Raw genomic sequence first — 26,081 nt, 5'->3', positions numbered from 1 at the left:
CCATTTCTGCTTATTTGTCAAATGTCTCACCTGCAAGGGACATTAATGTCCACCTGGTTCATGGTTCCCAGCCCTGCCTGAACAGCAGAATCACCTGGGAAGGTTAAACAACCTATTGGTGCAGGGACCCCACCCCCACTGGTCCTGACTGAATTGATCTAGGGCCTGGCTACTTTTTGAGAGCTCCCCAGGGCTCTCTGTCCAAGTGAGGAAGGTGGCCAGGTCTGCTACCTTGTGTGAGAGGAGCTAAGGCAGACTCCAAGAGACCTTCCCACATGCAAATGCATTCATTTTGCAAGGGCATTAAGAGTCCCTGAGTTCTGCTGTCAGGCCAACGGCGCCTCTAGGACCCAGCGGCCACTCCATGTGGGTTACTCAGAAAGATGATTTCTTATCATTTGGTGCCTGAGAAGGTCCTAACCCCTGCAACCTGTGAATATGAATTTCTAGGCAAAAACAATGTATTCCAGATGTGATTAGGTTAAGGAGTTTGATAAGGGGGATTATCCTGTAGTAACCAGGTATGCCCTAAATGCATCACAAATGTCTTTATAAGAGAGGCAGAGGGAGGCTGAAAACAGACAGAAAAGAAGTGATGTGACCATGGAGATGGAGAATGGAGTGATGCGGCCACAAGCCGAGGAATGCTGGCAGCCACCAGAAGCTCAGCCAGGCAAGGACCTTGGGACCCTGGAAGGAGCATTCCCCAGCTTGTTAACTGTAGAGGGTATCGACTGCAAGTTGTCTAGGTTCTTGGTGTTTTGAACAAAGAATTGAACAAAACACACAGCAAAGCAAGGAAAGACTGAAGCAGCAAAAGTAGAAATTTATTGAAAATGAAAGTACATGCCACAGGGTGGGAGTGGGCCAGAGCAGCAGCTCAAGGGCCTCGGTTACAGTATCTTCCGGGGTCCAAATATCCCCTAGAGGTTTCCCATTGGCCACTTGGTGTTCACCCCATGTAAATGAAGTGGTGGCCGGCAATCAGTCTAATTGTTTTGGAAAGCAACCAGAGGCTGAAGTTACAAACTTACTCTATGCAAACATCTGATTGTCTGCTGCAACCAATCAGAGGTACTTTCAATTATCTATCTGCCTCAAATAATGACAGCTTTGATTATTGCTTTCCAATCTCTCTTTTATTTCTTTTTTCTTCTTATTGCACTGCCTAAGCCCTTTAATGCATTACAGCATTGAAAAGATAAAAGAAGGCATTCTTGCCACTTTTCTGATATTAAAGGGAATATCTTAAACACTTTTACATGTGATTTGCCATAGGTTTTGTTTCTTTATTAAGTCATGAGTGGATGTTGAATTTTATCAAACAGATCTTTGCATCTATAAACCTGAGCATGGACTTTCTCCCTTCGATCTGTTGATATGACACATTACATTAATTGATTTTCAAAATTAAACATCTCACTGACATTCTGGTGGCTTCCTGACCTTGCTGCCTTTTATGGCTCTTCGGGCTTCTACCCTTTTTTTCTGTTCCCATGGGAGTATCTTTGGAAGAGAGTGGCCCTGCTCACACCAGAACTAGACATTACATTTTTCATGACTCCAACAGTGCACTTGCAATTGGGCTTATGTGGATGGACAGGGCTAGATTCCTTCCATCATGCTGCCTTGCTCGACTGTCCGATCTTGGGACATTTGACAGCAAGCCTCTCGGGTCACCCTCAAATCATCTTTCTCCCAGACTTTCTGACAGTTCACCTTATTGTCTTTGGCCTTGAGACCTCTCTCTTCATCATTCTCCTGCATCCCTGATTCTCTAGGACCTCAGTCCTGGGGACCAGGCTTTCGCCTGGCCAAAGAGCACATCCTCCCCTCTGCTCCCCTCCCTGCAGTGCTGGCCCTTCTGGCTGTGCTGTGAGACTGGCCACAATGTCTAATGGGAGCCCCCATTTCTGGGCCTCCTGCTGCTCAGCTTGGTCTTTCAGAGAGCACCCCTCAAAACCCAGAGCACCAGATGGCAGCCACCCCCAGGTCTCCACGTCACCTATGAGAAGCGTTCAGGCCCAGCACACGGCCTGGCCCCGGAGTGGTGCTTAAGAAATGTTTGTTGGTTCTTGCTCTTTCTTATAGCTGAGCCTGGGTCTAGGGATGCCCTCCCTGGCCAGGCATGGCTAAGAGGTGGGGTGAGGGGCTTCATGGGTTCGCCTGTGTCCCCTGCAGCACCCCTCACTGCAGGCTCAAGCTTACCAGGACCCCCACTACTGACTAAACACACATGTTGGATCCTACTATTAAAAGCAGTGAGAATTTAATCCTTCAGAGTTCAGCTCAAGCATCCTTTTCTCAGAAGACTCCCTAACCTCCTAGACTAGGTCACTGGGTCAGTCAGAGTCCCTGCGGGAAACAGATGGTATATTTAAATTGGGTAATTTGATCAGAGTTCAATGAGGGGACTGTCTACAAAGTGTGACTGGTTTAGGTGAAGCCCCTGGGGTGGGGTGGTCCTCTAAGCCAGTGGAGCTACCTTAAGTGGGACCTGATGGAGTGGGGGCAGGAGTGATTCTCAGAACCTTGTGCAGCATGGGGGCTGGGCGGGAACTGGGCCTGCTGCAGAGAATGCAGCGGGCAGGGAGTCAGAAAACCAGTGCCCACATTCCTCCCTGGCTGCCTCCAGCCTCTGGTCTCCAGCTGGCCCTCCTATCAGGTGAATGCAGCTGGAAGGCACGGGCCAGCCTGTAGGGAGGCTCTGCACACTGCACATGTGTGCGATTGTGTGATTGTGTGTCTGCCCCATGAGAGTGTGAGCTCCACGAGGAAGGAAATGTGCACATCTCACTCACAGCACAGCATCTGGCACATTACCAGGGCTCACTAAAAGTCCGCTGACTGGTGCAGAGGTGTAATCAATGGACTGTCCTGGAAGACATTACTGAGGAACCCAAGAGGGACTCATCACCCCTCATTCCCTTGAATACAGTGCCCTTACTGTTTTCTCTTGTCTCTTCATGGAACTTGGGAGGTCCTAGATGAAAGGTCTCAAGGGCAACTCCCACCTCATCTTCAACTCCATGGCTAGAGCATGCTCTCCCCAGCATGGCTAGGGGCCTTCAGCGTGGCTTGACATCCTCCGAACACGTGACTGCTCTCCTGAGATGTGTGGGTGTCTCCTCTGCTCTCATGCTCCAACTTCCCCATGTGCCTTGCTATGGACTGAATGTCTGTGTTCCCCCAAATCCATATGTTGAAGCCCCAAGCCCCAGGGTGATATTATGGGAGGTGGTGCCTTTAGAAGGTAATTACGGTTAGATGGGGTCATGAAGGTGGTGCCTCCATGATGGGATTAGTCCTTACGAGGGGATGAAGAGACCAGAGCTTTCTTTCCCACATGTGAGGACACAGTGAGAAGTCGGCTACCTGTGAGCCAGGAAGAGAGTCCTCACCAGGGACCCACCATGCTGGCTGGCACCTTAATCCCCAACACCCAACCTCCAGAACTGTGAGAAATACATGTCTTGTTTTAGCCTGTAGCCCCTTGGTGTATGGTATTTTGCAGTGAAGACATCTCCTGGAAGCTTCTTTCAGACCCCCCAGCTTCCCTGTCTCTGGCCCTTGACACCACTCTTGAACTTCCCTCCTGTCCTACATGTGGTATCTAAGGAGGAGTCACTGTCCCTTCCGAATGCTGAAAGGCCCTGAATGGTCGGGAGTGGCTCTGGCTTCCAAAAAGTGAAAGTTAGTCCTAGAATGACAGGTGTGGGCTAGAGGGAACAGCCCCTCCACCTTCAGGACAAGTGGGGGCGCTGGCCTTCCAAAGATTCTCTTCAGGTGCAGAGGACAGGCTCATGTGAAGCAGCTGCTGGCTCTTTCCCTTGGTCTGCACGAGGTGCATCCTGCCCTGGGCTGGCCTGAAACTGAGCGCTGGGGATGTGGAGGGAACAGCCTTGAGGGGTTCATGTCTGGTCACCAAAGAGACAAAAAACAAGCTGACAGGATAGGATGGGGGTGTGCAGATGGCCAGGCCTCAGGGAGGAAGGAGTCATGAGGAGGTCTGCAGCATGGGCGGGTACCGGGACTCAGAGGGAACCTGAGCAAAGGGGAGGACATGAGCTGAGTCTAAGGGGACCCCAGGCCATTTTCCACATGCAGGGAAGATGTCGGCAGAAGCCCTGAAGAGAAGCTGTGCCTGCTGAGAACCATCAGACACAAGGTAGACCCATACAGGGCTCACTCAAGGGCATGGTGACCTTGAGGCCCCAGCTTCAGGTAGGTAAGTTGCCTGCATTCTTCTGTCATCCCCGACTCCTCTCATTTGACTAGGTGTGAGTGATAGCATCAGTGTCTCCGAACTCAGGAGATATCACCTGGCCACACATCAAAGTCATGTAGGGAGCTCTGTGAAAAGACACTGGTTTTAGGGCTCCTCCTCCTGAGATAAATATTGACTGGGCTGGGCAGGGGCTGGGAGATTTGACAGTTTTTAAACCTCCTGCAGCTATTTGAGTGTGTAGCTGGGATTTAGAACCACTCGTCCAAGGAATGTCTGCAGAGGCAGGCAAGCTCTTTCTCTGCGTGTCCCAGCCTATTAGCTGCCAAAGATGATTCCAAAGTCCATTCTTTCCACTTTAAAATACAAGATGCTGTTTGATAGATCTCATTTTATGTTTTTCAAAGCAATGGGTTTTTTTTTTTTTTTTTTTTTCAGAATTGAATGACTGTGGTGTTTGGGGAGAAATAAAGGCTGAGTGCCAGCTTTTCTTCCTCCTCTTGGAACTGGTGCATCAGCTTGTGGAAGCATGTGGAGCTTCTGTGGGGTCCTGGGGCATGGACAAGTGGGAATCAGTCAGCTGATAGTTCAGTAGGGTGTAGGGAGTGAAGCTTTGACTGCACCCAGGAGAGCTGTAGAAAAAAGTCACCATGAGATATTAAATGTCATCACTTTCAGATTATTCATTATATATATATAGGAATAATTTTAAAAGCCACTTGAGAGATCAACTGAAGAGGTGTGGACAGAGTTTTATGCACAGAGATACACATATTGAAAACCACCAACTTTTTCAGTAAAAAGAGAAAGCTGCTGTGCCAGATGACAGAATCCAGCGGAGAAAAAAATTTAATGACAGGGAGATCATGGTATAATGCTAAACCAAAGAAACATATAAGCCTACACATAAAGTAGCATCTCAATCATGTAAAATTCAAGAATTAGGCCATAATTTTTAAGTATTTTCAAATACTGCAGCCTTTCAATTATCAGTTAATGGTATTACATATGAGTTATTATTTCTTTCTTATTTATTAGTATTTTTAAAGATTTTCTGTAATAAGAGTGCATTATTTTCATAATCAGAAAAAAATTATAACAAAAATATCATAACAAGTCAGTTAAGTGGCAAGTGGCCAACTGGAGGAAGGGTTTCCACATTTAGCAAATAAAAAGATAGAATGTTCATTGCATTTGAATTTTGGATAAATGACAAATAAATGTTTAGTATAAGTATATCCCAAATATTGCCTAAGCTATACTTATGTTAAAAAAGTATTTGTTACATCTCTGAAATTCTAATTTAATTATGTATTTCTTTAATTTATCTGATAACCCTACCTGGAGGGGAAGGAGAACAGGCCCAGGCCATGTGGGAGATTTCAAGCCATCCTGAGAGCTCCCCGGCTGCCCAAGACACAGGCTTTGGCTGGGCTTCCCTATGTCAAGCGATGGAAGGCACCATCTATGCAGCAGCCATGCTCTCTCCTGAGTCCTCAGATCAAATATCTTCTTATTTCTGGACTTAAGTACAGCTGCTCCAGCATATACACCTACTTCATGCAAATGATAACAATAATATTTATTTGTGTTGCATGCTAACATTCTCAGTGGGCATCATATTACTAATCACATGTGTGGATTTTTATCTCTGATGGGTCACCCAGCAAGTGTCAGATCTTAACACAGCTCCTCTAAGACAGGGTCTATTCTTAGTCCCATTTTGTGGCTGAGGAAACCAATGCTCAGAGAGGACAGAAGCTTGCTGGAGGCCACACATCTGCAGGGTCTGGTCTCAGATCCCACTGCCCTGCCCCCACTGAGCCTGGTGCAGGAAAGCTCTTCTCTGTGCTGTGCTCTGTCACTGTAATCTTGGAAGCAGCCCTGGGAGATGGCAGCCCTGGGAGATGCCTACCATAGGAAAGCTAAGTCCCCTCTCCCCCTCCCCCGACCCCAGCAGGATCCCATTGGTTTCTTCTGATCTTTCTCCCTCCCTCTCTGCCATGAAGGTTTTTGGAATCTGCTGGGTCTGCTAGATCCTCTCACTATCTCTGAACCTCAGACAAATCACCAGAGCTGCCAGTGCATCAATACTCTCACCTAATCCAGAAACATGAACTTGGCTCTCAGTGCAAACACCCTTCCCACCAGGTTGCAGCATTCCCAGGTGACTTTTAAGTGGGTTACAGTGAAAGTTTCTTCAAAAGCATCTCTTTCCCTGCTATCCAGGGCTTTAACTGCTGATTGATGATTTATAATATAACAAACAGAAAAATTTTTTTTATGGTTGAATTTCTGGCTTCAGCTCTTATCAATCTTATATTGTCTAGAAAAAACCAAGATCGTGACTTCTGAGGAAAATCCCCACATACATCTCATTGTACTTATTCCTTGGTGAAATCCTTAAACTGAAGTCTTGTTGTGAATACATTGTTTCTAATTTTTCTTATTTCTTTGAGTCCCTTCAAGGCCTCTCACCAAACCAAATCCTAAAGCTTTCTTGGAAATCCAGAAAATTAAGTGAAACAAGAACACTGTAGAATATATTAAATGGTCTGGCACAAATTAATGAAAAGCTCTTTGCTTGTAAAAGAAAATAAAGATTCAGTTCACTCAAACAAGGAAAGCTCTGTGGGGAAAGCCCACATTTTCCACTTGGCTTCAGCACCTCCAAGTGCAGTGAGTGGTGAGTGAGCAGCTCAGTGTGAGCATGCCACTGTCTACACGGGTGGCATGAGGAAGAAGAGTGGCCCAGCACAAGGCAGGGTCTCTCAACAACGGTAACAGATAGAGAACACCGTGTTCATTTTCTGCATGAGGAGATGGATCCTCCCATGCACAGAGGGGTCCAGCAACATGCCCAGAGTCTCCCAGCTAGTAAATCATGAGGCTGGACCCGACCCCAGACCCTGAGCTTTCCAGCACATGGCTCTGCCTCCCTCATGGGCCAACGTCTCCAAAGTCTAAGGAAGGATCAATCCTTTAAAGTCAGAATGTGCTGCAGTTCAGAGGTTTATGAACCTGGGGTTGGCTCTGAACCATCTCCAGGGCCTGACTTTGGGCTGCCCTGGAAGCTTTCTTGGCACCTTCGGTCATCATTGGGCTAGCCCCCATCATTCCTATCTCCCTCTGAACTGATTCTCTTTTCCAGCTTCAGCATGAGGGAGAATGCCAAGGTCATATAGACCATGGCCAACAAGTAAACTGTGAAGATTTGTCCCCTTTACGGTGTGGTGACGTAGAACAAGTTATTTGACCTCCAGGACTCAGTCTCCTCGTCTGCAAAGTGAGTATACTAACGATCACTTCCAGGACTGTTGCAAAGATTTATGAGACACTGAAGATGTTCAGTAACCTTGTCCATCCTCCAGCTCTTTGCAGGTTCAAATGTTTCGGATAAACCAGACCCTGAATGAGTAGGAGAAGGAACATGTGAAGAAAGCCAGGGGCCCACAACATCCCTCTCTTTGCACAAGGTAATGCAGTTCTACTCCTAAAAATCATCCTCCAATAAAACTGTATCTAGGGTAGAACCTTGACTAATGATACTTGGTATCTCTCTGTGGTCAATGATAGGACTAAGTTGGACATGAGAGATGCTATTCTCAGAATTAAGGGTCAGGGAATACAATGTGGTGACTGCAACCTGGTGCTCAGCTACCCATTAAGAAGCTCTTTAAAAAGTAAAGTCGTGGTGACATTCAGGGATGGTAGTGTGGCCAGTTCAGGTGACAGACACTCAAAGCTCTATGTGGAATAGTGGAGGAGCCTCAAACTGTTCCCTGGCCCCGTCCAGAAGGAAATGCCCATGCCAGGCGCCTTGGGCATGGTGTTCTTGCCTCTCGCCTGGCTCCCCATCCAATCTGCACCCTCTGCCAAGGATTGAAGTCATGGCCACCTCCACTTCCAACGCCCGCTCTGTGGCTGTGCCAGGAGTTGGGCATTAGCTCCCTTTCACTTATTTGTACAGGATGAATTATGCCAGGGTCGTGTTAACCATCATTTGGAGATTATTTTTGGAGACAGAAAACTCTTTAGCAGCAAGCGCAGGAGGTTATACAACGACTGTGCAAGGGAGACTCTTGGATACTCAAAATAGACCTTCCAAGGTGAGGTCATCATCAAATGGCACTCTGGGGACAGAGTTTATGGACTCACCTTTGGAATACTGTGTGGTGAGCGTGCCGTCGCCCCAGCCAAGAGCAGGGCCTGCTCTAATGCAGCCGGGCTCGCCCTCATTTATGTTGGGATGGTGCTCAGTGTGGATTGATGGAAAGAGGTGGAGCAGGATCCAGAAACATCCACTACCTCACTCATGTTATCTCATCGCACAAGGGATCCAGTGTTAGGGAGACCCAGGGCCTGGCCCTGGACATTTCACATGTCCAGTTCTTTTTTAACCCTTTGCTACAATGTGCTGTTTGGTCCGTGGATCCTGTAGCTGGTTCCCACATGCTTGTGTTTTTCTGTCTTCATGATGAGAACTGTAGCTCTAGATCTTTGAAGCTTGATTTTGCTTGGGCACCCACTGCATGAGAGCACTGCATCATAGGAAATGTTGCTAAGTTCCAAATATCCCCAAGAGAGCTTCCCTTACAAACTGCAGAATAGGACTTTGCTCTTTTCAACCATTAATGAGGTCTAAAATTTGAAAGGCCAGCCAGTGAATAGCTAATGTTTTTGACTGAATTCACCCCATAAGAATTATATTGTATGTCTGTATTAGTCAGCTAGGGCTGTCATAACAAACTGCCACAGACTTGGTTGCTGAAAACAACAAAAAATTAATTATCCCAGTTCTGGAAATGAGAAGTCCAAGATCAAGGTGCCAGCAGAGTTGGTTTTTTCCCAAAGCCTCTCTGCTTGGCTTGTAGATCCCATCTTCTCACTTCCTCACATGGTCTTTCCTCTGTGTGTCCATGTCTGTGTCCCAGTCTCCTCTTCTTATAAGGACACCAGTCATATTGATTAGCATCCACTCCAAGGACCTCATTTTAACTTCATCACCTCTTTAAAGACCTTGCCTCCAAATACGGTCCCATTCTGAGGTTCTGGGCGGCAGGGCTTCCACTATGAATTTGGAGGGGAGTACAACCCAGCCCATAACAATCTCAACACTCAGTACATAAAGATAACTAACAAAGGCCGGGTGTGGTGGCTCATGACTGTAATCCCGGCACTTTCGGAGATCGAGGCAGGTGGATCACCTGAGGTCAGAAGTTTGAGACCAGCCTGGTCAACATGGTGAAACCCTCTCTAATAAACATGTAAAAATTAGCCAGGTGTGGTGGTGCGTGCCTGTAATCCCAGCTACTTGGGAGGCTGAGGCAGGACAATCGCCTGAACCTGGGAGACAGAGGTTGCAGTGAGTCAAGATCATGCCACTGGACTAAAGCCTGGGCAACCGAGGGAGACCCTGTCTCAAAAACAATAATAATAATGATAACAATAATAATAATAATGAGATGTGAGTTAAAAAAAAAAAAAAACAGAACAAAACAGTACTTACCTGATATGGTTTGGCTGGTGCCCCCACCCAAATCTCAAGTTGAATTGTATATCCCAGAATTCCCATGTGTTGTGGGAGGGACCCGGGGGGAGGTAATTGAATCATGGGGCTGGTCTTTCCTGTGCTATTCCTGTGAGAGTGAATAAGTCACGAGATCTGATGGCTTCATCAGGGGTTTCCGCGTTTGCTTCCTCATCATTTTTTCTTGCTGCTGCCGTGTAAGAATTGCCTTTCACCTCCCACCATGATTCTGAGGCTTCCCTGGCCATGTGGAACTGTAAGTCCAATTAAACCCCTTTTTCTTCCCAGTCTCAGGTATGTCTTTGTCAGCAGAAACAAAACGGGCTAATACATTACCTTTACGATGTGGGAGACCATTTGATCTTTGCTATTCTATTCTATTTCTTTAAAATAACCCTGGTTATGACCCACAAAAATGATTTCACAATCCATTAATGGTTACAACCCACAGTTTTTCCAGATCAAGGCCAAACCCTGAGAATACTTATTTCCACTCTAATCTAAGGAGCTAAGCAAATACTAATCAGAATCAAAGCCTTTATCTTAATGATGGGGGAGCTGAGACCATGGATAGGCTTGAGCAGGCCTGGTCAGGGAATGGTGGTTACAACAGTGGCCCCAGTCTGGGGACCAGGGGTTTGAGTTTCTTCCAGAAAGAAGGATGGCCAGACAGGATCAGGATGGAGGGGGAGTGAGAACTGTGTCTGAGACACAATGCCAGGGGACAAAACCAGGGGACCATTCAAAGAGCAAGTGCAGGGCAGAGAAAAGAAGGAGCTGCCAAAAAGGCCAGACTCAGGGCAGGGGCAGGGACAGAGGGACGAGCTACAGCCACGTGGCTGCAAGCACCCTAAAGGTCAGAGCTCATCTATGTTGGGGATGGTGTTGGCACAGGCTCGGTCCCTGAGTGCTGTAGGCTATAAAACAAGTGTTGCCCTTTTAGGTCCACTTCATCTCGTTAGCCTTTTCCATAGAACACGGGGGAGCTCTGGCTGAGTCCATGTGACAGGACATCTCACAACAGAGGGGCCCTGACACTTTACACTTGAAAAGTTTGGGGAAGCCAAGGAGAGGAGTCTTTAGCTACGGAAAATCACCAGAGAAAGCCAAGCTGCAGAGAAAGCCATTTCTAAAATTCTAAAATAGTCATCCCAGCATTATGCCAATTACCTTCCTAAAACACAGGTGCCATACACCCAATCCCTTGATTATGTGAACACATACTGTTTCCTGATGGAGTATATAGTTATTGCTTTAGAACAGAGTAAAAATTCTTTAACGTGGAATTTAAGCCCTAAGGATTTTTTATATCATCCTCCAACTTAAATCCTTCCAGCTTCTTAATTTGTCATTTATACCCCCCTGCCACTTCCCACTGTATATACATATTTTAACATTATGGTAATAATACCAGAGATATGGTGCTCTGCTTTTTAAAAATAGCATAAAATAATTTCAAACAATATCATACATAAAAAGAATTTAAACTGTTTTTAATAATAAGAATTGCAAAGTAATATAATATAAAAAGAGCCCAAAAAGAGTATATGTACAGCTGAAACAAGAAAAATCCAATAGACATCATAAAGCCACCACCTGGCTTAAGAAACAGACCTTTTCAAATGTACTAGAAACCCATAATGTCCCCTTCCTCAATTATACTGCACCTACTCCCTGCAAGTGACTGTCATCCTGAATAATGTCTTCATCATCTGTTGCTTTTCTGTGTCATTTTCAACACAGTATCAAACCTTAAAAAATCATATTTTGTAAATTCAAGTTGCTGATGTTCAGAAATGCAATGTGACTTTCGTGTTTTGAATTAAAAAAAAATCAACTAGTAAATTTGTCTATTAGTTCTAAAAAATTATCTGTGGGTTCTTTGGGGTTTTCTATATAGAAAATCTTAACATCTACAAATAATGACGCTTTGTTTATTGCTTTCCAATCTCTCTTTATTTCTGTTTTCTTCTTACTGCACTGGTTAAGCCCTTTAATACATTACTGAGCAGGAAAGAGAAAAGCAGTCATTCTTGCCATTTTATGATCTTAAAGGGAATGTCTTAAACATCTTTACATGTGATTTGCTGTAGGTTTTGTTAGGTGCTCTTTATTAAGTTAAGGAAGTTCCTCCCATTCTTGTTTTGTTACAAGTTTTGTTTTGTTTTAAGTCATGAGTGGATGTTGAATTTTGTCAAACAGATCTCTGCATCTGTAAACCTGAGCATGGACTTTGTGCCTTCGATCTGTTGATGTGATGTGTTACACTAATTAATTTTCAAAATTAAACAACTTTGTATTCCTGGGATAATCTCAAAGTGATTACGATGTATGATTATACATTTTCCTTTGTGTGTTCTTTATGGCAGTTTTGTTTAGATGTCTTCACCTTTATTTATAAAGAAACTTAATCTGTAGCTTTACTTTCTTGCAGTTACTCATCTGTTCTTAGTATCAGACATGTGATAGCCTCATACAATGAGTTAGGATGTGCTTTCGCTTTTTCTATTCTTTGGAAGAGTGTGTGTAAGATAAAACTATTTGATCTTTGATGTTTGATAGAAATCAACTGTAAGGCCACTTGGGTCTGGGGTTTCCTTTGCGAAAGAATTTTAACAACTAATGAGGCCTCCTACATCTTCCTGAAATAATTTTAGTAAGGTTTTTTTAGATATGTATCTTTCTCATCATCTGTTGCTATGACATTGTTCATAACATCTCTTTATTACTAGTTCACAGCAATTTTTTTGTCCTTTCCTTTTGTGCCTTATTTTGGATGGAGTGCTTTAAAATCAGATTCCACTATTATCCCTCTACGTGTTTTACAAATATAATTGTCTATTCTATTAGCGATTATCTTAGCTATTTCAGTATGCGTGTTTAAGAATGCCTAAAGCTTATCAATATCTATGGTCATCTCAACTGATACACTTGATATACTTCATTTCAAGGTTTATTGCTTTCCACAAGCGGATGTACTGTGAAGCTAATGAAACATGAGTTTTTCAGAATGCTTCATTTACATGAGCTCTTTCTAATCTGCTGAGCCTAATTTTGCTTTTTAAAATTTGGTATTTTTGTTAACAAGGCACATTTTGTGCATTTACAGTCTCACAGAACCTGGATTGACCCCTGATATTTGCAAATCATTCTGTGGATTTCTAACTTCTGTGCCAGCTCAGCATTATATTTAAAAATATATTATTTGTGGCTGGAAGCGGTGGCTCACACCTGTAATTCCAGCACTCTGGGAGGCTGAGGTGGTCAGATCACCTGAGGTTAGGAGTTTGAGACCAGCCTGGCCAAAATGGCCAACCTGTCTCTACTAAAAATACAAAAAATACACAGGCTTGGTGGCAGACGCCTGTAATCCCAGCTACTCAGGAGGGGGAGGCATGAGAATCATTTGAACCTGGGAGGGGAAGGCTGCCCTGAACTGAGATAGTGCCACTGCACTCCAGCCTTGGCAAAAGAGTGAGCCCTCATCAAAAAAAAAAAAAAAAAAAAAAAAGAAAGAAAGAAAGAGAGAAAGAGAAAGAAAAGAAAAAAGAAAAAAGTGATAATTTGTATTGTATCTGTTGTTTCATTTGTCTCAGCAGATCTAAGCGACCTCACTGCTGTGGCAGGGACTGAGATCATGAAACTTGTTACTTGACTGCAAACATGGCCATTTCTTATAGAAAAATTAAGATATCAAATAGTGGATCCCAAAGCTTTTGAGGACAATGAATTATGGAGTCAGTTCTAGGGAATAGAACCAGTTTCTAATCAGGGACATTCTCTTATCCCAGAGCAGGGGGTTCTGCTGGAGCCCAGGTAGATTTCAGTAGTTGTAATGTACCTCCCTTTCATCTCCTTCTGGGTGGAAGTGTCTATTTAGTTATTCTTCTATCTCTGTCTCATGATTGTATTCTGAATTAGGAATGAGGGGCAAATAATTTCTTTTTTCAGTTTTTAGGTCTCTGTGCCTGACTTAGATGACAAGATCCTGAACTTTAAAGAGCTTGATGTTATAATGAGATGAAACTTTTGGGTCTAGGGGTGAGAACACTTTGCCAGATGACCGTGCTTTGGGCTCAGGAAAGCCCTTGACCAGAGCCTGGTTCTGCTTCCTGGGTCCACAGTCTGCTCTCGGAGGCACCTGGAGCCACTCCTAGTTTTTGCTCTGCATCAAAAGCTAGTGGGGATATTTCTGGAAAGAGAAGTCCATCCTGGGCTTTTTTTTTTCCTGAACATTAAATATAGACATTAAGTATAAGCACTAAATAAAATAAATAAAAATAAATATTAAATATAAATAAATATAATAACAATATTTTCCAAGGTGTTAATTCATTTTAAAACAACTGAATAAAGTATCTTTTGGTGGCTGCTAGAGTTAATTAAGTTACCTATTTAATTTCAAATATTCATGCCCCTCTTCATTTAAATAATTATTGGAGGGGGCTTATGAAAATTGATATGGGTTAAAAAAGAGTCAGTGGGGCTAAGAGAGTAGAAATAGTAAGATGAGGCATGAAATATGCTTTCTAAGATCCCACACACAAAAGGATCTTAAAGTGTTTCTGGGACTCCAAGCAACCCACCAGAAAAGGAAAACAGGATCCTGTGACATGAATTACAGTGTCCTTGATATAAACAAACTGTAACGACTGCATACTGCACTTTATGCTGCTGATACTTGAGACCCACAGCCCTGTCACTGTATAGGGCCAGGGACAGCGTCCTTTACCAATATCCTCACAGAGTTAGCAACGGTGGGTTTCCCAGCTGCCTTTGAGTTTGCTTTCCATGTGTCTGCACTTTAAGCAGGAAGCACACTTTCATGAAAAGAGCTCCATGGGAGGGGCTCTGAGAACGAGGTCCATGCTGCTTTGGATTAATCCTTCGCCAAATTCTCAATGAATAATTTTTTCTCAACTTTAAATGTGAGGTGATGATGTTTTCAAGGTTTGACTCCCTGATACTTGCAGTGAAGCTGGTGTTCCTTGCCTTTCCATTTGAAGGATGACAGAAAAATGCTTAGTCAGAGTGAATCCCAGATTCCATGCTCTGCAGAGAGCTGGACAGCTGCTTAACCAGGACACCAGCCTGACAGCAGGTCATGCTGCCTGTCCCACCCCTGCCCAGCATCCAGGGCTGACCTCTGTCCACTGCACAAGAGGCTTCTGGAGGGCCAAGCTCATTCCTGACTTGCTCACTGTTTGTATTGGTCTGCAGGGGCTGCTGTAACAAAGTGCTGCAAGCTGAGTGGCTTAGAGAACAAAATGCATTGGCTTGAAATTCTGGAGGCTGGAAGTCTGAAATCACAGTGTCATCAGGGCTGGTTCTAGGCCACTCTCCTTTGCTGGATGGCCATTGGCATATTCACGTGGACTTCTCTCAACTGTATGGCTGTCTCCAAATTTCCCCTTCTTATAAGGACACCACTCCTCCTATTAGATTAGGGCCCATTCTAATTACCTCATCACACCTCTGTAAAGTCTCTATCTCCAAATAAGGTCACACTCTGAGGTTCTGTGTGTTAGGATATCAACATATGAATTTTGGGTGAACACCAACCTTAACACCATCATAGCTCCAGTTCCTAACATAGTAAAAAACAACAACTGCACAGCACTAAAAAAAATTTGGAGAATTAATGTATGAAGACATAAATTGAAATCTATTTTATCAATAGACAGAATGTGTTCAAGGCCCAAGATTTTAATGTTATAGCAATAATTCTGGGCTGGAAAATTTAAAATAGATGTTACTAAATGCTCATGTTAGTCATAAAAGGCTTAGCAAAATTGAGCAGATGTAAGTTATGTGACTTCCTGAGGAACACTCCAAGATAAACCCATTATAAAAAGTACCTCTTAGCAAATGAATGAGTTGAACTTGCACCTACACAGGGTCATTACCCAAACATATAGGCACACCTTGGAGATACTACAGGTTTGGTTCCACACCACTGCAATAGAGTGAATATCTCAATAAGGCAAGTTGTATTCATCCATTTTCATACTGCTATGAAGGAATACCCAAGACTGGGTAATTTATAAAGAAAAAGAAGTTTAATGGACTCACAGCTCCACATGGCTGAGGAGGCCTCACAATCATGGTGGAAGGCAAAGGTGGAACAAAGGCACATCTTACATGTCAACAGGAAAGAGAATGTGTCCAGGGGAGCTATCCTTTATAAAACCATCAGATCTCATGAGACTTATTCACTATCATGAGAACAGCATGGGAAAACCCCATCCCCCACCCCATGATTCAATTACTTCCCACCGGGTCCCTCACATGAAACGTGGGGATTATGGGAGCTACAATTCAAGATGACATTTGGGAAGAGACACAGCTGAACTATATCACAAATCACACAGGTTTTTTGTGTCCCAGTACATATAAAAGTTATAATTTACAGTATACTGTAGTCTACTAAGTGTGCACTGTCTAAAAAACATACCTTAATTTAAAAATACTTTGCTGCTAAAAATGTTAACAATCATTTGAGCCTTCAATGAATCATTATCTTTTTGCTGATGGAGGGTCTTTCCTCGATGTTGATGGCTGCTGACTGATCAGGTTGGTGGTTGCTGAAGGTTGAGGTGGCTGTATCAATTTCTTAAGATAACACATCAGTGAAGTTTTTAGCGTCAATTGAGCCTTGTTTCAGTGAAAGATTTCTCTGTAGCATGCAGTGCTGTTGGATAGCATCTTGCACACAGAACTTCTTTCAGATTTGAAGTCCATCCTCACAAACCCTGATTTATCAAATAAGTTTATGTAATATTCTAAATCCTTTGTTGTCATTCCAATGATATTCACAGCTACTTCACTAGGAGTAGACTGCATTTCAAGAAATCGGTTTCTTTGCTCATCCGTAAGCAACTGCTCCTTCTTTTGAGTTTAATCACCAAAAATCAGCAATTCAGCCACATATTCAGGCTCTGCTTCTAATTGTAGGTCTCTTGCTATTTCCACCACATCTGCAGTTACTTTCCCTACCGAAATCTTGAATCTTTCAAAGTTATCCATAAGGTTTGGGATCAACTTCTTCCAAATTCCCATTAATGTTGATATTTTGACCTCCTCCCATGCATGATGAATTCTCTTAGTGGCATCTACGATGATGAATCCTTTCAGAAGGTTTTCAATGTATTTTTCCCAGACCTATCAGAGTAATAATCAACTATGGAAGCAATGGCCTGACAAAATGTATTTCTTAAGTAGTAAGACTTGAAAGTTGAAATTACTTCTCGATTCTTGGGCTGCAGAAAGGATGTTGTTTTAGCAGGCATGAAAATAACATTTATCTCTTTGTATACCTCCATCAGAGCTCTTGGGTGACCAGGTACATTGCCAATGAGCAGTAATATTTGGAAAGAAACCTTTTTTCTGAGCAGTAGGTCTCAAAAGTGGACAACAAATATTCAGTAAACCATGCTGTAAATAGATGTGCTGTCATCTAGACTTTTATTATTCCATACATAGAACACAGGTAGAGATTTAGCATAATTCTTAAGGCCTTTAGTATTTTTGGAATGATCAATGAGCATTGTCTTAAATTTCATGTCACCAGCTGCATTAGTCCCTAACAAGAGAGTCAGCCTGACCTTTGAAGCTTTGAAGCCAGGCATTGACTTCTCTCTACCTATGAAAGTTTTAGATGACGTCTTCTTCCAATAGAAGGCTGTTTTGTGTACATTAAAAATCTGTTGTGGCCGGGCGCAGTGACTCATGTCTGTAATCCCAGCACTCTGGGGGGCCGAGGCGGGTGGATCATGAGGTCAGGAGTTCGAGACCAGCCTGACTAACATGGTGAAACCCCGTCTCTGCTAAAAGTACAAAAATTAGCTGGGCATGGTGGCTCACACCTGTAATCCCAGCTACTCAGGAGGCTGAGGCAGGAGAATCCCTTGAACCTGGGAGGCGGGGGTTGCAGTGAGCTGAGATCATGCCACTGCACTCCAGCCTGGGTGACAGATCGAGACTCCATCTCAAAAAAAAAAAAATATCTGTTGTTTAGTGTAGCCACCTTCATCAATGATCTTAGCTAGATCTTCTGGAAAACTGGCTGCAGCTTCTCCATCAGCACTTGCTACTTTACCTTGCACTTTATGTTATGAAGATGGCTTCTTTTAAACCTGAAGAACCAACCTCTGCTAGCCTCAAAACATTTATTTTGCAGCTTCCTCATCTCTCTCAGACTTTGTAGAATTAAAGAAAACCTGGGCCTTTCTCTGGGTTATGCTTTGACTTAAGGGAATGTTGTGGCTGGTTTGATTATCTATCCAGACCACTAAAACTTTCTCCATATCAGAAATCAGACTGTTTTGCTTTCTTATCATTCATGTGTTTACTGGAGTAGCACTTTTAATTTCCTTCAAGAACTTTTGCTTGGCATTCACAGCTTGGCTAACTATTTGGCACAAGAGACCTAACATTTGGCCTATTTTGGTTTTCAACATGCCTTCCTCAGTAAGCTTAATCATTTCTAGCTTTTGATTGAAAGTGAGAGACGTGTGACTCTTCCTTTCACCTGAACACTTAGAGTTCATTGTAGGGTTATTAATTGGCCTAATTTTAATATTGTTGTTTCAGGGAATAAAGAGGCCTGAGGAGAAAGAAATAGACAGGGGAATGGCCAGTTGGTGGAGCAGTCAGAACACACCATTTATCAATGGAGTTTGCCGTCTTGTGTGGGCATGGTTCCTGGTGCCTCAAAACAATTACAATGGTAACATCAAAGATCACTGACCACAGATCACCAAAACAGATGCAATAATTATGAAAATGTTCAAAATATTGTGAGAATTACCAAAATGTGACACAGAGACACGAAGCGAGCACTTACTGTTGGAAGAATGGCACTGATAGACTTGCTTGACCCAGGGTTGTCACAGATCTTCAATTTGTAAAAACATGCAACACCTGCAAAGTGCAATAAAGTAAAGAGCACGAAAATAAGGTATGCTTGTAGTTAACATGAAAGGAAAGCTTCCAAAGTGGTGACTTGGGTTTGAAAGGGCTGGTCTTGATCTAACACTAAGGAGACATCCAGTGAACTATCTGGCTACATAACTTTTTTATTTTATTTTATTTTATTTTATTATACTTTAAGTTTTAGGGTACATGTGCACAATGTGCAGGTTAGTTACATATGTATACATGTGCCATGCTGGTGTGCTGCACCCATTAACTCGTCACTTAGCATTAGGTATATCTCCCAATGCTGTCCCTCCCCCCTCCCCCCACCCCACAACAGTCCCCAGAGTGTGATGTTCCCTTTCCTGTGTCCATGTGTTCTCATCGTTCAATTCCCACCTATGAGTGAGAACATGCGGTATTTGGTTTTTTGTCCTTGCAATAGTTTACTGAGAAAGATGATTTCCAATTTCATCCATGTCCCTACAAAGGACATGAACTCATCATTTTTATGGCTGCGTACTATCCCATGGTGTATATGTGCCACATTTTCTTAATCCAGTCTATCATTGTTGGACATTTGGGTTGGTTCCAAGTCTTTGCTATTGTGAATAATGCCGCAATAAACATACGTGTGCATGTGTCTTTATAGCAGCATGATTTATAATCCTTTGGGTATATACCCAGTAATGGGATGGCTGGGTCAAATGGTATTTCTAGTTCTAGATCCCTGAGGAATCGCCACACTGACTTCCACAAGGGTCGAACTAGTTTACAGTCCCACCAACTGTGTAAAAGTGTTCCTATTTCTCCACATCCTCTCCAGCACCTGTTGTTTCCTGACTTTTTAATGATCGCCATTCTAACTGGTGTGAGATGGTATCTCATTGTGGTTTTGATTTGCATTTCTCTGATGGCCAGTGATGGTGAGCATTAACATGAGCACTTCTGCTCCAAGCTGTCTGTGCCATCACAGCTGCAATTGAGAGGCATTCCTTATTCTCCCTCCCTCACCAAAATGTAAATAGCTGTGTTTATTTTTTCTGATTGAATGGTTAATGCATGCTAACTATAAAGAAGATAACTAACAAATCTGAAAACTGAAAAGAAAATGTTCCTTATAAACCTCTAGAAGTTTGTGATAGCAACTTCACAATGAAACTGTATATCATTCCAAATATTTAAATTAAATATGTCAAATACAACATATATTTATCCAAATGAGATCATACAATATGCACTATTTCATCACTTGAATTTTGCACGCAATAAATCATGAAGCATGCTGAAACCTACTTGGTAGTATTGTAGGATGTAGCTCTCCCTAGAAACCTGGCTCTTTACTGAGGAACATGCAGCATTTCTAGTTTCTGCTACTAAAAATATCATTTCATAAACCTTCAGATAGGTACACATTTGTATGATCACCCAATAATTTCCTAATGAAGTGCCCAGAAGTAGAATTGCCACATTAAAATGAATACATATTATCCTACAGATTTTTACAATATCCTTCAGAAATATTGTACCAGTACTCACCCTTACCGATTGTCCTTGAAATTGTGTTCACCCACCACTTAAACTATATCAGATGTTATTCTTTTTAAATTTTGCCAATTTGATGGATAAAACTAATATCTCATGGTCAGTATAATTTACATTTCTTTTATAACCTGATCTGTTCATTGGCCACTTGCCTTTTTTTCCTTTTTGAGTTTCTTTTTTCACTTTTTTTGTTTATTATTTATTTGTCAGTTTTCTCCCCTACACCTTCTCCATTGTCCCTTTCTGAAACTTCAATTCATTCAATTTTGGATGTATATTTTGGTTTTTCTTTTGCTTCATATTGTGTGAGAATTCTGTTTATTTTCTAGACTGTCTAACGACTTGCTATCTTGGCAATTATATCTCTAAGAAGTCTTTATTGTTCTCAGATTGTTCTCTTTTCATAGTCCCTTCTTCTTGCTTTAAATAAATAAATATATAGATATAATTGCTGCTTCTTAATTAGCTTATTTATTTATTTATATCTATCTATCTGTCATCTGTTATCATCATATGTAGACACATCCTTTAATTATTTTGGCTTCCAAGAGAATAGGTTGAAATATCAGCAGTATCCGTTTATATGAAGTTGCCCATATTGTGCACAAGTTCCACACTCTGGAAGTAGTTTTGGAATGGATGGAGGGAGAGAGGTATTACCAGGTTTGTGACTGCCTTATAGTTCCCAGTATCCTCAATTTCCTTTTTCTTCACTTTTGAAACATTTGTCCATTTTCACAGAAGCCATGATTACCATATTAGTTAGAGTCTGTTTTGGCACAAATAATGCAATGCATTCAAGAGTAGCTAAACATGTTACTATTACAGGATGGATATTGTTGTTTTTCCTCATGTGCCTAGGATCTGCTTCAGAGGCTCAGGACTGTCAGAACCATGATCTGAAATTCCTGTGGCCTTTCCTAAATGGTTGCAAGATGGAAACACACTCTTGTTTTCTGGGAGGGGGAGAGTGAAGAGATAAGGAAGAAAGAGTAACACTTAGAGCTGGAAGCAGAAACTGCCTGCTGTCATCGCATTGGCCATTTAGAACAATTTCCCAGCATCCCTGGGGTTTGAGGTGATCAAGTGACACCGTGACTGGTGCAGACACTGCTAGCTTCCTATCTATTGCCCATTCTTAACTTCTTTCTTACTAATATGACTCAGAGTTTTGCTTAGTCTGTTTTTGTTTTGGTTCCTGATAGATTCTAGGACTTTTCGGAGTGACCTGTTAATTACCTTATTTTAAAACTCCCCAACAGTGCTTAGCCTAGGCTTGAGCACACAGCAGGTGTCCACAGTTCCTGGAATTTGGTTGGCTGCCAGTCAAGAACTTAATAAAACATAGCTACTACTTCTTGAAATTTTCCTATGCCAAGTACACTTCCAAATGCATCACGTATATTAATACATGTTATCCCACCATAGCCTTATGAGATAGATATTATTATTATTACACCCATTTAACTGATGAGGAAACGAAAGCACAGAGCGGCTAAGTAACTTGCCTGAAACCACACAGATAGAAAGCAGAAAGGAGGGAATTGGAATTTGAAGGCAGGCAGGCTGCTTCCTGCACTTGTTTGCTACCGAATTGCACTAGTAAATTAAGCCGTAAGTGGCTTACACCTTCAAATCTTCATTACGTGATGAAAAGTGATAAAAAGCAAGAAAATATACAACTACTTTAAACCTATACATTAAGGGGAAACTGACAGCCATGTAAAGTCAAGGAGCTAAAGAAACCTTGATGGTACAGACGTTCCATCTCTCACCTCTCGTCCACGTGGATCACACCGAAAATATAATCACCTTCTTCCTCATTCATTCTGTGTTTGTGGAAACTTCCCAGTGATCAAAGCTGTCTTGGGGTGAAGGGTGAGCCCAGCCGTAAAGTGAGCTCTGTGAAGACTGCTGCCTTTCCTCCAGCCCAGGGCTGTCAACACAGTGGCTGGGGAGTGTTGTGTGACTCTCCTTTGAAGCAATAGGTCCATTGTGCAATCTCCATAGCATGGCCTAGTGGGAAGACAGAAGCCCAAAGGGCCCAGTGTAAGCTCATCCAGAAACTAGGAGACTGCAGTTCCACATCTATAAAACAAGGCTAGTTTGGATTTCTGGGAAGGAAGTAGTTTATAAAATCAGCAGATAATATGTAGATCCAGATGTAAAATGTTGGCAGGCACAATGAGGGTGGCTTTTTCTCACCAAAGAGAGCCTTTGATCTTTGCACAGAGCCAAGGTGGCAACTCTAGCAGCCTAGTTTAACTTCATTTCACGATCTGTGACCTTGGTTCCCAAACTTTCATGTAAGGTATTGCCCATTTAACAGGGAAGGAGACCTAGTCATGGCCTCTGGGAACTGGAGAAATATGTACAGTGCTCCAAGCCTCCATGAAAATAGGCAGACCCAGGGATCTGACTCTCCTTTTATCTGTCTCTTCAGAGCCCTGCTCATCTTCTCTAGTCTCTTCTATGGCCCAACAGGAAATTAACATGACCTTTGTTCTCACAGCATAGCAGCCACGGTAGGCTAAATTATGCTGCAGTAACAAATCACCTAAAACTCTTTGTGGCTTACCACAAGAAGTTGATATCTTGGTCTCATAAAGTAGACTGCAGATCTGGGTGATTCTCCAGGCAATTTTCCTCCATATTTAGCAAGTCAGATTGTTTCCTTCTTTTGGCCTTTCCATTTCAACACTAAGCAATCCCCAACTGGTGCGGATGAAGAAAGAGGTGGAGGGTCAAGAAGCTGTAATTAATTGCTTGGGCCTAGGAGTGGCCCTATTTCTATTCATGTTTCTTTGGTGAGAACTATTTACTTAGCCATACCTAAATTCAAGGAATACCTTATGATTCTCTGTGTAACTGAAAGTAGCAGAGTACCAAATATTGGTGAACATTAACTCTGTTGATCATACAGACAAAAGCTGTCTTCATTTGCTAAAGAGTTCCATCTGGCTAACCTCTGAGCTATTACCTTTGTGTTAGCCAGATTCAGGATTACGGAGTCTTGGTGAGGAAGAAACTTGGAGGCCATTAGTCCAGTTTATCCCAATTCAGGATCCTTGATATTAATCCTAACAAACGATTATCAAGCCTCTCTTTGGACACTTTCACGATGGCGTCTCACTATCTTATGAGCCAGAAAATTCCATGTTGAGACAGCTCTTTGTAAAATTCCTCCATGTTCTGATCCTGTCTACCTTCCTGGCAGGGCCACTTCTCAAGTCCAATTCTCTATGCTTAATAGAACTGGCTCTACCCACCCCCACTCTCCCATGCCCCTTCAAATGCCTGAGGCCATTGGCATGTTTCCTCCTTGCTCGGTTCCATAGCCTCAGTTCCCTCCACCACCCCTCACGTGACCTCCAATTTCTCCCTGTCTTGATAACCACTCTGTATGTCACCTTCTTTTAGTGTAGTATTCAGAACCTCTTGGTCTGATGGTTGTCAGATAAAGTGTTATCACTGATCTTGTTCTAGGTGTTGCACGATTCTAGCAGTGTCACCAAAGCAGCATTACTTTTCTCAGCAACCACATCACACTCTGGGTTTATATTCCAACTGGAGTTATTGGGATTTGAAGTCTAAAACTGACCCCCTCTTCCCTTCCAGGTTCTGTCCCATGGTTTATAGGCAAAAAGAGATGTAAATAAAAGTGACAGGCTGATTAATGGTTGGGCATGCATCCCAAGATTGACAAAAGGCAGGCCTCTTTGATTTAAACTGGAATAGAGAATTCATCTTGAATTTTTGAGGCTGAAGGGTGACCGCAGCTCTCTGCATTCTATATTGAAGACAACTGGGAACTAATGTAAGGCTGACTTAACTCACTCATTTGAAGGTAAAGAAACTGGAACACACACAGGTATGCATGCACACCCACATACACATTAGAAGATGGCCAGGCCTGCCTACAGAAGATGAGCCCTTGGCCTGGCCACTTATGCTTAGACTGCAGAGAAGGAGGAAGAGGCTACTGGCCTTGAAGCAAGCTGTGAAATAAATGGGTGAAAAGACACAGTAGTCCTGTCCATTAGCTAAGGGCTCTGAGTAATACACTTTCTTTCCTTTTTTTTTTTTTTTTTTTGAGGCTGAGTCTTGCTCTGTCACCCAGGCTGGAGTGCAGTGGTGAGATCTCGGCTCACTGTAAGCTCTGCCTCCCGGGTTCCCACCATTCTCCTGCCTCAGCCCCCTGAGTAGCTGGGATTACAGGCGCCTGCCACAACGCCTGGCTAATTTTTTGTATTTTTAGTAGAGACGGGGTTTCACCGTGTTAGCCAGGATGGTCGCTATCTCCTGACCTTGTGATCTGCCTGCCTCGACCTCCCAAAGTGCTGGGATTACAGGCTTGAGCCACAGGCTTGAGCCATCTTTATTTAAATGTCTACTAGACCACTTCCCAATCTAACAAGATCATTTTGAATCATGATTTGATGATCCAATAGATTAATTTTTCCCCATTCCAGGTGATGTTGACTGGTTTTGTGTTATGCAACCTACTTAGGGGTAGGTTAAATTGTCACTGCAACACAATTTAACCTACCCTGGCTCTGTGCTTTGAGAACAGAGGATATGTGAGTTTCCTGTTGGATCAGAGAAGAGACTAGATGGGCTGGGCAGGGATCTGGTGAGACAGGAGAGCAACAGTTACAGAGAAGTGGGACACACATCTTAATATTTCTAACCAGGCTGATGCTCCTTGAGTATCATTTTTAGCTATAAATTAATATGTCACATAGCACAAGATTAAAAAAATAGTATTTGAATGTGTTCTGCTAAAATTTTACTAATAGTAAAGCCTTCCCAAAGAGGAAATGGGATTGGTTTGTCACGGCTTGTTCTTGGTGAACCCCTGTTGGCTCACCTTTTCCAGGTATGCCACCATCTTCAATGTAATGGCTTCACTTAGAATCTGTCTATGAAGGAGTATCTTGTCTTGTCTTTTGGAATCCACCCTTTTCTTCTTTATGCTCACCAGGACAACATCTGTCCATCTACCTCTTTACTAGGCTGATAGATTTTTTAACATTCGAAAGGCTTTTGTGCAAGAAGAATGGTTATACTTGTACATCTTGGATTCGATAGGAAATTTATGAATCTTAAGATTGTAATAATAAATATTTTTACATGATGATAATATTTCCTCTAATCATATATTTCTAATATAATCTTTCACAATTATGAATACAATAAATTAAGCATTTCCTAATGTTTATACATCATTAGAAATCTATTTGATCAAACTTTCCACTTAATAAAAAATGCAGATCAAATGTATGAGATTCTCTTTAATGTCTTACATGCTTTGTAATAGTGGTTAAATATCTGAATCTCTTCTGAGTAGCTGCCCCAATCTAGGTCTCCTCTCTGCCTGAGTGCGTGGGAGGAGCCTGTGGCCCCTAGCAATCTGAAATGACTCCTTGGCCAATTCCGGCTGAAGGGCTGATAGCAGAAATGAAATGTGCCTCTTCTGGCTAAAACACTAAACTGCTAGAACAAGACCTTCCAGTGGTCTTTTCCTCTGTCTCATGGTATTGGTTGTTTTTAGCTACATAACAAATTGCCCGAAAACTTAGGAGTGTAAGACAACAGACATTTGTTATTTCACAGTTTCTGTGGATCAGGAATTCAGAAATGGCTTCCTTTGGTGGTTCTGGCTCCATGGTCTCTCCTGAGGTTACAGCCCAGATGTACCCTGGGCTGCAGTTATCTCCAGAGTGGAGCTGGAGGATTTGCTTGTATGACTGCTCACTTACATGCTGTTGGTGCAAGGCCTCAGTTCCTCACTGGCTGTTGGAAAGAGGCCTCCACTCCATACCACATGGACCTCTCCTAGGACTCATTGAGTAGCCTCAAACA

General features: G+C 42.7%; 1 long non-coding RNA gene across 3 annotated transcripts, besides 1 other annotated feature; it reads right to left on the bottom strand.

Annotated features, from left to right (window-relative positions):
* Positions 607–996: a silencer, noted in NCBI's record as "fragment chr10:48510376-48510765 (GRCh37/hg19 assembly coordinates)". NCBI's record gives its function as "represses an EF-1alpha promoter that drives an FKBP-Casp9 reporter gene in an ReSE screen in HepG2 liver carcinoma cells {active_cell/tissue: HepG2}" and the evidence as "EXISTENCE:reporter gene assay evidence [ECO:0000049][PMID:32094911]".
* On the bottom strand, positions 804–26,081 carry LOC105378291 (uncharacterized). 3 transcript variants are annotated; one of them, XR_945937.3, is made up of 5 exons: positions 25,979–26,081; positions 21,992–22,232; positions 18,601–18,677; positions 5,567–5,781; positions 804–4,857 (listed from the first exon to the last, which is right to left on the bottom strand). It is a non-coding gene; the product is annotated as an uncharacterized LOC105378291 (long non-coding RNA). The 3 variants fall into 3 exon arrangements; XR_945936.2 differs by lacking the exon at positions 25,979–26,081 and adding an exon at positions 22,795–22,882; XR_428742.4 differs by lacking the exon at positions 25,979–26,081 and having other exon boundaries at positions 5,567–5,778; positions 21,992–22,165.

Source organism: Homo sapiens, chromosome 10, assembly GCF_000001405.40.
Source record: "Homo sapiens chromosome 10, GRCh38.p14 Primary Assembly".
NCBI lineage: Eukaryota > Metazoa > Chordata > Mammalia > Primates > Hominidae > Homo > Homo sapiens.
This window is presented reverse-complemented; position numbering and strand designations above follow the sequence as displayed.